This window comes from Homo sapiens, chromosome 7 (assembly GCF_000001405.40).
Source record: "Homo sapiens chromosome 7, GRCh38.p14 Primary Assembly".
Lineage (NCBI taxonomy): Eukaryota > Metazoa > Chordata > Mammalia > Primates > Hominidae > Homo > Homo sapiens.
Genome location: NC_000007.14, coordinates 122,026,993 through 122,040,669, shown reverse-complemented (window position 1 = coordinate 122,040,669; position 13,677 = coordinate 122,026,993). Strand labels below are relative to the sequence as shown.

The following is a 13,677-nucleotide window of genomic DNA, read 5'->3' as shown; positions in this document are numbered from 1 at the left end:
TGAAAGAAAGTAGAGTGTCATTTGTGATGGTTAATTTTGTGTCCACTTGGCTATACTATGGTGGCCCATTGTTTGGTCAACACTAATCACACAAAATGTTGCTGTAAAGGTATTTTGTTTAGATGTGATTAACATGTAAGTCAGCAGACTTTGAGTAAAGCAAATCATAGTCCATAATGTGGGTGAGCTCCATTCAACCACTTGAAGGCTGTAAGAACAAAGACTGATAGGATAGGTTACCTGAAGAATAAAGAATTCTTCTCAACAGTGCAACGTAAAGATCCTACCAGAATTTCTAGGCTGCCAGCCTGTCCTACAGGTTTAAGATTTGCTAATCCCCATGATCATGTGAGTCAATTCTTAAAAATGTAAACCTCTCTATCTCTCTATTCTGTTGGTTCTGTTTCTTTGAAGAACCTGAGTAATACGTTATTCTTCGTGTTTCCTTTCTTTTTCTTGTTTCACTCTCCACTCTTTTTAGTTGAATATTGGGATTGTGTCAGGGCCATCCTATGCAGTTGCCACACAAGGTAGGAATTTCTGTTCATGTATCACATTCACTTTAAACATCAGCAACAAAACCAGTCTGGCTCCAAAGCCACAACAGGCATCTAGAGACCTGAAAGAAACCTTTAGGACTGACGGCAGCTGTGATAAGAATTCTTTTTTTTTTTCTTTTCTTTTTTTTTTGACAGAGTCTCACTCTGTTGCCCAGGCTGGAGTGCAGTGGCATGATCTTAGCTCACTGCAACCTCTGCCTCCTGGGTACATGTGATTCCTGTGCTTCAGCCTCCCAAGTGTGCACCACCACACTCAGCAAATTTTTGCATTTTTAGTAGATATGGGGTTTCACCATGTTGGCCAGGCTAGTCTCGACCTCCTGACCTCAAGTAATTCACCCACCTTGGCCTCCCAATGTCCTGGGATTACAGGCATAAGCCATGCACCTGGCCTGGTTACAAGAATTTTTAATGCCTTTAGTTATATGCTTTTTACCCTTTCTTGGTTCTATCGCTTATTCACTTAAAAAATGACCAAATGCATTGTTCACTTGATTATGCCCATCATTTTGTTGACTCACCTTTTTTATTTTTGTGTTTCTTAGAGTAAAATTCCTCACAGTATAATAGGCAAGCACTTGCACACTCTTCTGAGTGACCAGAAAGTTCCCGTACTCCTCACTCCCATCGGCAGGCCAGTACTGATCACATTTTCTCTGCAAAAGAAAATGTAGATGTTACTTCTGTATTTCAAATGCTCCATGTAAAAGTCATTCCCTGAAATCAGTAAAGGTCTGAGATGGTGACAGGAATGGACTCCTTCACTCTTCTAAATGTTTTATTTTCTTTATAAGTGACTGAAATTAGTTGTGGAGGAGGCTAGGGATAGAATCTGAGAGCTGAACGAGACTGAGATGAGGTACCCTAAAATTTCCCCTTTCAGATAAGGCAAGTGAGTCAGAAGATTCAGGTTACAGAGCCAAGACTAAAATCCATGTCCTGTGAATTAAAATCGATTTCACTCTACATTGCTTTTCAATGAGTCCCATTTACTTCTCCCACAGTATGAAGAATGCGTTTAAAAGGCAGATAGCATGATTCATAATGAAACTTTTTGACTAACAGTATTAACAGTTTCCCTTTAGCTGTCATATTTACTAAAAAAGAATCCCAAATAACTCTCAAAACTTTGGCTCCTTCCTAATGCTGACTCTATTAAAACTAATTTAAAGTACCTCTAATTACTTTTTTGGGGGTGACATAACAGATTATCTACATACCCTTCCTTTCTCCACGAGGTTTGTTATCATGACAATAACTTCCACATTATGTTCCCATATCATTCTCCAGAAATCTTCAGCTGTGGATTTCAGTGGGCCTTGGGCAGCAATATAAGCTTTTGGTCTGTTGTAGCCCTGAAGAATTAAATGACAAATGTTTCCTACTAACTGATTTATATGTCATCTTTAACTGTACAATGCCTAAGTTTTTAAGGTCAGCATAATTTTTCGTAAAAGAAAACCATAAAAAATAAACTTGCAAAGTTGGAGAAATTTGATGGTACCAACTAAGATAGCTACTCTTGGTTAGAAAATACTCTTGGTTAGGAAGCAGAAGGATCCCTATCATTTTTGTAAAAAAAAAAAAAAAAAAAAAAAAAGAATAGCTCTCTTTGCTTTGACACAACTATAATTCTGTGCATTTGTATTCCAAGTGTATTTAATCCATTTGCGGTCTACTTGCTATGCTTAAAATCAAGTCTTTAATAGCACTGCTTTGAAATGTATTTTAGGCACTGGGCTCAGATGTCTACAACAGCTTAAAAAAGCATCTGGAGTGTAACCTCCTTACTCTACTTCAACGTGCTGAGAAGTGCTAATCATTATTAGCAATTCGTCACTGTGTCCCATTTTGTACAAGATGTTTTATGGGCATAATATGGATTGGCTGTTTTCCCACCCAAATCTCATCTTAAATTGTAGTTTCCATAATTCCTGTGTGTTGTGGGAGGAACCAGGTGGAAATAATGGAATCATGAGGGTGATTTCCCCCACGCTGTTCTCGTGAGAGTGAGTGAGTTCTCATGAGATCTGATGGTTATAAAAAGGGCTTTCCTCCTTACTGGGCACTCATTCTCTCTCCTGCCATTCTGTGAAGAGGTGCCTTTCACCATGACTGTAAGTTTCCCGAGACCTCCCTAGCCATGCAGAACTATGAGAAAATTAAACCTCTTTTCTTTATAAATTACCCAGTCTTGGGTATTCCTTCATAGCAGTGTCCTTCATAGACTAATACAGAACGTGAACCTTAATCTTTCATCTATGCAAAATGGAAGCATCAACCCTGATGTGGAGATGAGGAACCTAAAGCTCAGAGGAGTTAAGTGGCTTTCCAAAGTCCCACAGCTAGCCAGTGGCAGAGATGGGATTCAAAATCAGTTCTAACTCCAGATCTCATGTTCATTCTGACATGCATATTTCCTCCTCAGGAAGCATGAAACAGTTGCCTGTAACAAACCCACTTTATACTTATGTACTCATTTATTTGAATTCAGTATTCCACACAGTATTAACCTGAAGCCAGCTAGACTGAGAGGTGCATCTTAGGGAAGTAATTGAGTTCTGCTGACATTCAGGTGATCACAGTGAAAAACCAATTTAGTTAGTGAGCGGTCTACAGTCTCTGGAGAGTCCCAGTAAGTTCCACAAAGCTGGGTATCCTGAGGAATACCCAAAATTATAAAGGTTGATAACTGGATTAATAATCATGTTTGCCTTTTAATCAGTACTACTATGGAAATTTTTTGTTCATCAGCTAAATGCACATCCTTGTGCCAGGAGCTATGGGAAACTTAAAATAAGCCTTGGCCCTGCCCTTCACATTTTTTTTTTTTCTGAGACGGAGTCTCACTCTGTTGCCCAGGCTGGAGTGCAGAAGTGCGATCTCGGCTCACTGCAAACTCTGCCTCCCGGGTTCACGCCATTCTCCTGCCTCAGCCTCCCGAGTAGCTGGGACTACAGGCGCCCGCCACAACGCCCAGCTAATTTTTTTTTGTATTTTTAGTAGAGATGGGGTTTCACCGTGTTAGCTAGGATGGTCTCGATCTTCTGACCTCGTGATCCGCCTGCCTCAGCCTCCCAAAGTTCTGGGATTACAGGCGTGAGCCACCGCGCCCAGCCCTGCCCTTCACATCTAAAGAGTTAGAAACCTATCTGAATCTACCTATTCCACCCTGAAGGTACACTCCCATCATGAATTCCTTTCCTCACTCAGGAGATAAACCAAGTAAAATAGCTTGAATGTCATTTAATATGAAAATTTTTAGTCATAGGCTCTCTTAAAAATTATTTACTGTTACTTTACCATTTTTATTCTCTATCGAATAACATGACATTAAGCACTAGTATATGTATGCATGTATGGCATTATGGTATAATAATTCAGTCTAATATGATTTCTATAAAATTTTCAATTAAAACATGCTTACATCAACATAATTGGCATTGATATAATCAGTCAGTTTGCCATCCTTTTCAGCAAGCTGTGCTAGCTTAACCCTGCTATGATCATCTGTAATATAAAGAGAATATATTTCATTGTAGCACAGACTACTTTTCAGCACAAAGATAATTCATATTTGCATAATAATTTATTTCATTCAATTAAAATCAACACAAGCAATCATTTACTTTCATAGGCTTTTTGGGGATACAGAGACAGCAAAGAAAACAAAGACAAATATAAAAAGAATCTCCACCCTCAGGAACATTTCTAAGGTAATAGGTGAAACTAGGGTATATACACAGGTGTCAAGTGAGAGGTGCAATGTAGTGGAGGGATATGAAAACAGAAATTGTTTTAGTTTGAGATAAAAGTTTCTATAGAGGTTGACATCTGAAGTTGGTCTTTTAAATGGAATTTTAAGGTTGGTTACAAGGGCTGTGAACAGTGGAGAGCTTCTCGAAGAGATAAAAATGTGATGGGTGGGGAGGCTCACAAAGCTAGGTAAGGATGAACAGGAGGCTGATGAAGGAAGAAGAGATAGAGAAGAAAGCCAAAGGTTCCCTAGGAAGTTTCTGTGAATGGTTACAGCAAACAGCTCTTTCAGGAGGAGCCTCAAAGAGAAACTGCTTCAAAAGGAGGCAGGAGAACAGCTGCTCAAGCACAGAGGAGGTAGATAGCACACTGCCAGTGAAAACAGGATGGATGCAAAATCTGGTAAATGATATAAGGTATAACTATGGTAATTCAAAGTATGATTACAGGAGTTTGAGATTAAATTCAGTTCTACAGAAAAACTATTTATTTGGAGAAAATACATATGAGAAATAAAGTATTACTTGAAGGAAACATGGCAGTTTCACTGAGAAGATTATTCTTTTCAAGGATGAAGAAGTGAATACAGACCAAACCAAAACAAGTTAAAGAGATACTCTGGGATATGAATACTTCTGTGATGGTAACAGGTCACACTGATACAGGAATGTATGTGCAAATGGAAGTATGGCAACTGACAGATGGGTCTCAATGTCAGGGTGACCTATTTTTGTAGTTTGGTTTTAATAGTTTTAGAATTTCTGGATTGTTTTTCTTTATCTCTAAAATTGGACAATTTCCTATCTTGCCTGGTTGTTTCAGGGATTAAATGAAATAACTTATTTACAGTGCCAGCCACATAGTAGGTAGGTGTTCATCAAATGTTAATCTCTGTCTCCTTCTTAATTACCTGATGCGTATGTTCTATTTAGCTTGTAGAGGAAAGTCTAATAATTTTATCTCAAGAAGCAAGTGAGTTTTATGTGTAGCCAGGATAGACGCAGTTCAGGAAGACAAACATAAAGCCCTCTACTAAAAAATAAAAATTAGTGTAAACTCTGTGGAAAGAATGGCAACATCTATACAAACTATATAAGAGATCATGATAGTAACAGGGAGAAGAGTGCAGCTCCATTGGCTTTCAGAACTAGAATGAAACCAGAATTTAAATAACCTCGTTGGTAATACCATGGTCCTATGAAGCCAGGAAGGGCCACACCACTGAATATATAGAAAGGGTATAAGTAGAATGTTTATTTGTTTGTTTGTTTGTTTTTGGAGTGGGGAGGGAGCACGAAGATGAATTTTAGGAGATGAAGGGGAATATAAACAAAAATAAGAGGGAACAAATGCAACCAGAAGTGCTATAAGAAGACAGAAGAAAGACAATAATTTCATAGAGAAATATTACGTAAAATTGCACTAATGAAAAAAGCCAGATAGCTGCTCATTGAGGAGAAAGGGAGAGAGAAAGGCTAAGAAAACAAAGAGAAAGAAAGAATTAAAAGAAAGAATCCAACTAATTCTTTATAAGACCCCAGGAAGAATGCCAAGAAAGGGAGGAAACAGGTAAAGGTAGAAGAAAAAAGAGAAAGTTTAAAGAAAATGTAATTCGGTTGGTAAATTCACATAAGAGTAAGCAAATCCTAGGTGAAAATAGGACCAAGTCATATAAATAATGACAAAAACCACCAAGGGAGATGAACAGTCTATGAAAGAAAGAACAAAAGAAAGAATTGGATTAAAATTCTAAGTTTGTTTTGTTTAAATAAAACAGATGTTATTAATTGCAGAAGGTATTTAAGTCAGAGTGATATAATGCTACATATTATCTAACACAAGTCTTATTATTCCCTGATAAAAAGGCCCCAAACAGCCACACTAAGGTCAGCTCTCAGATGACTTCAGGACACTTTTAAAAGGCACCAAAATGGCAATGATATTGAAGTCAGAGCTGATTTAAGAATATACTTACAGGCAACGATATTTATGTATCGATTCTTGTGCTTGTTGTCTGGGTGGTTGGAGCTGTCTGCTGTAATACCTAAGTCAACAGTACAGCTCTGCACTTCCTGTAAAAAATTATATGTAAATCATTTTAACACACATTCTTTCAAACAACGTGCCTTAAAATATAATAACGAAGACAAAACAAACAAAATAATCTATCAAATGAAATTTTTTAAAAGTTACAACTACTTCTTGGCTAAAAGAAAATGCAGTGAAATAATGCCTTACCTGGTAAAACTCTTTCAGTGTCTAATGAGGGAATGAATGCCAAAAAAGTAAAGAAATCAAATTCCACAGCACACGACAAATGAGAAAAAAAAGCGTTCATATTAGGTTTACAATGGAAAACTATGATCATGCAATAAATACATTTGTCAAATACTAACACAACAGAATGTTTCAAACAGTTGCATGCAAATCAAAATGTCTAATAATTTGGAACTTTAAAATTATGTAAAAGAAAACATAACACTTTTAAAAGGAGATAGTGATGTCATAATATGATGATTTTAAAAATGCAGATGAGAGGAACCACATATTCCATGATACATTTTGTCATATTAGTCAGATTGGCTAATATCCAAATTTTATTTTATTTGACCATAGTAGCACTATTTGAAACTCTGAATTAGTGATGTGCTTTTTTGTTTTTATTTTTTGGGGGGTTACTTTAAAAAGTAAACAGCTTCCTATTAGGTGGTTTGTAACAGATTTAAGGCTATCAAAACATTAATCATTTCCTAAAAATTTTAAAAATCATACACATTACATCATTTTGAAACAAAATTTAGATAGCATAACACTCTAAATATTTAATTAGCAGACCTCTTTTTGTTTAAACTTCAGTAAGTAAAGAAAATTTATTTCTGCCCATTTTTTTATTAAAAATGAGTTAATATGCTTTCAGAAATATTTTCTATCTGTTTAGAATTTATAATTATTTAGTATTATATAATAAAATAAAAGCCTTATAATTTCTGAGAAAGTAGATAACCAAAATAAAAATCTGATTCATCAGCAAATGGCCCAATCTCCCTCCACATAACCTTTTAAGGCTTCTTTTGCAGCAAGTCATTCTGAACAATTAAAAGCAATTTGATGTAAGAACCACTTAAAAGGTATAACGCTATTAGTTACTAAGCTAATTATTCAGTTAATGTAAAATTTTCTTGAATCAGGCAGTGAGTTAAAAGAGATAGAATTAAGAAAAAACTTTAAAAGTGAAAACATGAAGTTATTTTATTAATTTAATTATTTTGGACTGCTTAATAATATTCAAAATGATTTTATAGTTATGAAAACCATGAATTTGTATATGTTGTCAGTAATTTATATTATAAATTGTCTATTTTTTCTTATTTTGTTAGATGTTAGCCTGATAATTTCTATCAGTTAACACTAAAATTAACATTGAGTTAACACTATAGCATGCGTAACCTCTAGCCTGTCAAAATAATAAAAAATAATTTGATGTTTTAGACATGTAATTATTTATATTATTCCACCCTACTTAGTACTGCCTCACACTGCTTTCTTATTCAATGTAGCTATGATTTAGATTTCTTTTAGAATTAAATAAATTGGCTTCTATTATTTTTAAATTAGTAAAAACATATCATACCTCTCTTTCTTTTGATTTCTTAAAGCTTTCTAATCTATAACATTTTGCCTCCCTAAATAAATAATGATGGGTGTGAGTCCTGGGAAGCAACTGCTGGGTGCAGTGGGGAAAGAAAATCAGGAGAGAGTGGATTTTGTGATTAGGCTTACAGCTCAAAGTACTTCAAAGAGGGAGGTCCGCAGAGCCACTGGGGTTAGGGGAGAGAGAAGCAAAAATGCAATATGAAGCTCTCTAGTGGGGAATGGCCAGCGGGGAGGCTGAAGACAGCCTTCCTGCTTACAGCTACAGTGGAAAGGACATGAGTTTTTAAATCACAGACTTAGGTTTGAATGGAACTCTGTTATTTATCAGTTGTTAATTAAATTCTATGAAGTTTGATTTCATCAATAATATGAATAGAAATAATAACAAGTAATTCCCAGAGATGGGTGAAAGTTGAATGTGAAAGCATGTAGTCCACTGACATGTAAGAAGGTGTTCACAAAGGGTAGCTTTTATTTTTTGTGGTTTTTATTGTTACCTTTGTGCTTACAGCTCTCTATTTTGAAAAATCTACTTAGCTGATAGTTCAGTGGGCCATGATAAATTTGCAGTAAATTTCTCTGCCCTTCTGTCTAAGAGTATTTTAACAGAATATCATTGGAAAAAACTTACTGATTTTGAAGTTCAAATTTTTTTTAGAAATGCATATTTTCTTGAAAAGAAGATACATTTTTACCTGGTATAATGTAAGTGTTATCTAAATGCTTTTGCATTAACACTGGTGTACAAATCACAGTTAAGAATTTTTATGTAATTTGGCTGGAAATCATGAAATTTAGTAGTTTAGTATAATTTATAGAATTTAGAAAATTAAAAAGAATCATTGTTATTAATTCAGATTTTAAAAAAGAATATTAAAGATTTGTACTTTATGGAAGAAAATGAACAATGTTTTTTATGTTTCCACCAGTACAACTTGGCTTTTAAAATAGAAAACCAATTGTCTAAATTATATAGTAACTATAACACATCTCCTAAACACATATGTAATTATGGAACTCATATTTTTACTAGAAGTGCAAATGGTTGCACTGTCTTTAGGTCAAGAAATAGCCTATTGCTGAATCTTTTAAATTTTACTATTTTCTATATTATTTAAAATAGACATATTAAAATCATACCTCAAATTCTTCAGTAAACCCACTACTTGCATGTAAATCTGCAACATGCTTTGGAAAGTGCTTTATTGGAATTGCTCCGACATCATCTACGTGAATAAAAAAATTGTGTTAGAGAGCATAATTTAACAGAAATAAACGTACCTATCACTTATAAAGTAGCTTCTGAAACAACTTCAATTATTTGTATAATTCTAACTAAATCTCAGCATTCAATTGTTAAGCAACAATTACCAATTTTCTCTACATTTATTATCAATCAAAACCTGTATTTCAGAAATCTGATTTGTTCAGCAATCTCTTTTCCATCTATACCTAAAGATAAAATCACTTATTTTCAATGTTAATTTATAAATACCACCATAGCCCCACTCCTTATCAGTGGACTGCATCTTTTGATGGACAACTTTCTTTAACATGCCTGGATGTTGCATGTAAATTCTGAGAAAAAATGTAGAAATAATATAGTTTCAATTTTAGTGTGGACCAAGCATAATAAATAGTGTAATTTCGGTTTTGTAAAACTGTACAATTTAATGTCTTACAGTCAAATAGATGTTTACATTTGAAAACATTTTTTCCTTCTCTCTGTAAATAATAGAAAACATTTATATGGAGAATTTCATTAAGGATAATGTCAAAAGCCTTTGGGACTTTTAATCTGTAAAATTTCAAGAATTCTAACTTGAAAATATGCTATGTAAACAAAGTCATTGGATCTGTTAATTAATTGTGAAGGGGCCAAATTATTTTAACTGGTTCTGATTTTTTTTTCTTTTCCTGGAAAGACTTTCTTAGACTGAATATATTACTAGTTCACAGTATGCAATTTTACAAGTGATTTCTCTGACAAGGAAACATCAAACACATTTCACTAGAAACAGTTATTTATAGCAACAGATGTTCAGCATTTAGGCCATCTAATATTTTAAAGCTTCAGTTACCAAGAATTTGCTGATAAAAAAAAACTGGAATCCATCTGTTCTCTCTCTTAGATGAGTGGATCTGAATACTAAAATTGAATTAGTCAGTCAAGCTTAAGAAACACTAGACAAAGGTGTAATTCTACCTTCACACTTATAGAAGGATCTTGCTTAGAAGCTTTTATAATTAGATAAGAAAACAGAAATGATTTGTCACATGTAAGTCATTAGTCCTAGTAAATGTCCTTCAAACCCCTTGATGTTATCCTGCACAGCCAACCTCCTTTCATAAGTAGACTAGTACCTTTTATTGACAGTCAGGTATTTTGGTAATTTCTTTTATTAATTGGTCTGCAAGTAAGTGAGACTAACATTCATTTTGCTTTCTGATTTTTACACGAAAACATGCATATTCAGGTGATCAAGAGGGAATCTTTGAGAACTGAACAAGTGAAATAAGGAGATGCCCTTGAATCACCACTCTTTTGACACTCAAAACAGGGGAGTTTGGATCTCCTGGACTAGGTCTGATTTTGTATTATTTTATTTGTTAAAAATAAACCATGTTGGACTTTGGATAAAATTTTAGTTAATCTGCATACCCATGCTGATGGGGTATGCAGAAGAGACATGTTTGGAAGTGAAGGGAATCAAAATGTAACAGATAACTGAGAGCTGTTGGTCTAAAAATTCTGAATATGGCAATGAGACACTGTGGTACTAAAATAATAGTATTTTAATGTAAACTAGAAAAACAAATAAAACAGTGGTGCTTAAAGACACAGACTTGACAAAAGAGGAAAAATAGCAAACACAATTCCTAAGTTTATAAGGCACAAAAAGAAAATATCATAGTTAAATATATATAAATAATATATATAACATATGACATAAACATATAACAAACATCAACATATAAATGTAAAATATAAATAAAATGTTTGACTTTTTTTCTGTTTTTTAAGTCATGAGATTTCAGAAGATAACATCCTGTAGAACTTGAGCCTCTAGCAATGGAATATGGAGCATCAGTCAGAGAATTTAAAAAGTGCCATCTGTGAAATGATCCCATAGATGACTTTCTCCTTTTGTATCCCTACTTTCTTAACTTCTCTTTCCTTTTATTGTCCTCTATTTCCCAGATCACACAATTCTAGACCACTATTTTTTGTTGCCACTTTTCAATCCAAGATGTTATAAAATGTTAATTAAATAAGTGGCTTGAATATGCAACATGTCCATGTAGCAAACCTGCACATGCACCCCTTGAATTTATATTAAAAATGAGTGGTTATGATTTTACTTATAGTGTAAACTCTAGGATTAATGGATGTCTCTATCAAAATGACCCTGGCTACCTTTGAATACTGTTATTCAGATAAATTATGATAAAAATAGCTAAAGTCTTCCCAAATATTCAACTGTTCAACATTTTGAGAGATTATTTCAAGCAACCATATATTGTTTGTGTTCATGGCTTTTCCTGCTATTACCACCACAATTTTATAGATCTTTTCTTCTAATGTAGGTTAAAAAAAAAAAACCCTTTTCTCACATAAACTCAAGTAATCAGAAAGGAACAAGACTTTATCCTTATTTTTGTCATTTTTTTCCCATCCACATTTTCTGCATTGACTTAATCTGACTTTTGTTGCTTGGGTTTCCATTAACATAATAGGAATAAGTAAAAGTCACCATTATTCTTAACTAATATTTTATTGCTATAAATGTTTATGTTTTTAACATAATACACCTGAACAATTATAAACTATTTTTGCAATATCATCTGTATGATTAAGAACGTTTAAAATTAATGAGGACAGAATATAAACCTGAGTACCTGGAACATAATGTAATAAATATTTGGGGCAACACAAAAATTTACTAATCTACATTATAGCAATTTGCATAGTGTCCCGATAAAAACAAACCTTTCAACATTGTGCTTTTTGTTCAACATCTACCAGCTACTCATGGTCACACTTTAAGCCATTACCTGAAATTGGAAAGATAGGTGTTGGAGGTGTGGATATAACTCTAGGGGATGTACTGTCCTCTAAGTAAAAGTGTGCAGTCTGGAAGCATTTCCTGGAAATAAAAGAACACAATTTATACTACTAGTTGCTATGGAAAATAAGACAATTTCTGAGCTGCTTGAAAATTTTGATAGAAATCTCCAGAATTAAAACAAAAGCAGGTATATACCCAGAAGAGGGATTGCTGGATCTACATCCATTTTAACAAGTCACAAGATGTTAAATTATAAAATTTATCTCAGTTTTACCTGTAGCAGATGCAGAAGAGCAAGTAGATATCAGGCATGCTAAAAGCACAGACAGAATTTGAAGTTGTAGCTGGGTTCAAAGTGATACTTTGTTAATATAGGAAACCTCAATGCCCTACATATTCTTCCACTGTGGCTATAATACCCAAAATGTCCTGCCATCTTGGATAGAGCCAGAGAAGAAAAGAAATAATGTCCAAAGCCATTTTCACTCAACATTCACTCAAATGACCATGTTCTTCTTAGCATATACAGCTGCTAGCAAAAAGCAGCAAGCTATGTAGAAATGAACTATGTAGAAATTACCTACACAGTCCATAGTACATAGAAATGAACTATGAACTACGTAGAAATGAAACTACACCGTGGTAACATTTTGATGAAAAAAGAAAGTGGCTTCATGCTGTAATAATGCAGGAGTGACAGAACTTAAATGAGAAAATAATGAGCATACAACCAAAAATAGGGGCGATTTTCTTCCCAACAGATGCTAGTCTTGTTGATGAGGGTTTCGAGAATGAATATATTCAGATTCAGTGACAACTATGATCTACAATATCACCTGAATCTATTTTCATTCGGATAATAAGAGTAGCATCTGGTAAGAGCACACCACAAACTATCGACAAGAGCAAAGAACCAACTACTGCTATAAAGTAAAGCCAACCATCTTTAATTTTAAAAATTGAATAATTAAAACTGCTAATGACACTCTTTGATGTAGGTCATTTAATTTATTTGGAGCAATATTCATGAGTGGTTAAATTGAAACACTTGAATTCTGTTTGACTGAAAACGACAATCTCACTTTCCATCTAAACCTTCAAGCTACAAGGCATTTATCCTAATGAGTTTTAATGTAACATTTGTTCTTATATAGTGACACACCTAAATCTTTATTTTTTTCTAGTAAATTAGTTCCTTTAGATAAAATTCTTGAATGGCTTCTCGCTGCAATTAGAATTACATTCAGTTATGTTAGCAAGGGCTTTAAGACCTTTTTAATCCCTGACCTGGCCCCCAACCTACTTCAGTAGCTTCCTTTCCTGCAACTCTCTCCCTCACCCACCAGGATCCAGCCCACACTGGTCCTCTCCTTCACCTCTGAAGAAGCCCTGTCAGTAGCTTTTCAGGGCCTTGACTCTTGCCATTCCCCCTGGCTTCCTGCCTCCTTCCCATCACTTTTGCATTGGCCCAAATGCCGCTCCCTCTGAGTTTTCCCCTGATCATGACAGCTAAGTGTCAGGCTATCTCACTAAGTCACTACTCTTTGCCTTTTTGTTTGCTCTGTGGCACATCACTATTTGAAATACTATTATGTTTTTATTTGTTTTATATGTTTATAATTGGTCTCTTCTTATCA

The 13,677-nt window shown here is 34.4% G+C and overlaps 1 protein-coding gene across 5 annotated transcripts in view; it reads right to left on the bottom strand.

Moving 5' to 3' along the window:
- The window catches only part of PTPRZ1 (protein tyrosine phosphatase receptor type Z1), a 188,876-nt gene that overhangs the window by 21,367 nt on the left and 153,832 nt on the right, over nt 1–13,677 (bottom strand). For 3 of the 5 annotated variants that reach the window (NM_001369396.1, NM_002851.3, NM_001206838.2), the window contains 7 exons: nt 12,027–12,118; nt 9,111–9,196; nt 6,555–6,575; nt 6,292–6,388; nt 3,988–4,070; nt 1,781–1,915; nt 1,082–1,216 (listed from right to left, as the gene is read on the bottom strand). In NM_001369396.1, coding sequence (NP_001356325.1) covers nt 1,082–1,216; nt 1,781–1,915; nt 3,988–4,070; nt 6,292–6,388; nt 6,555–6,575; nt 9,111–9,196; nt 12,027–12,118 — 649 coding nt within the window. The remainder of the gene's footprint in view (nt 1–1,081; nt 1,217–1,780; nt 1,916–3,987; nt 4,071–6,291; nt 6,389–6,554; nt 6,576–9,110; nt 9,197–12,026; nt 12,119–13,677) is intronic. The other 2 variants (NM_001369395.1, NM_001206839.2) reach the window with 1 other exon arrangement.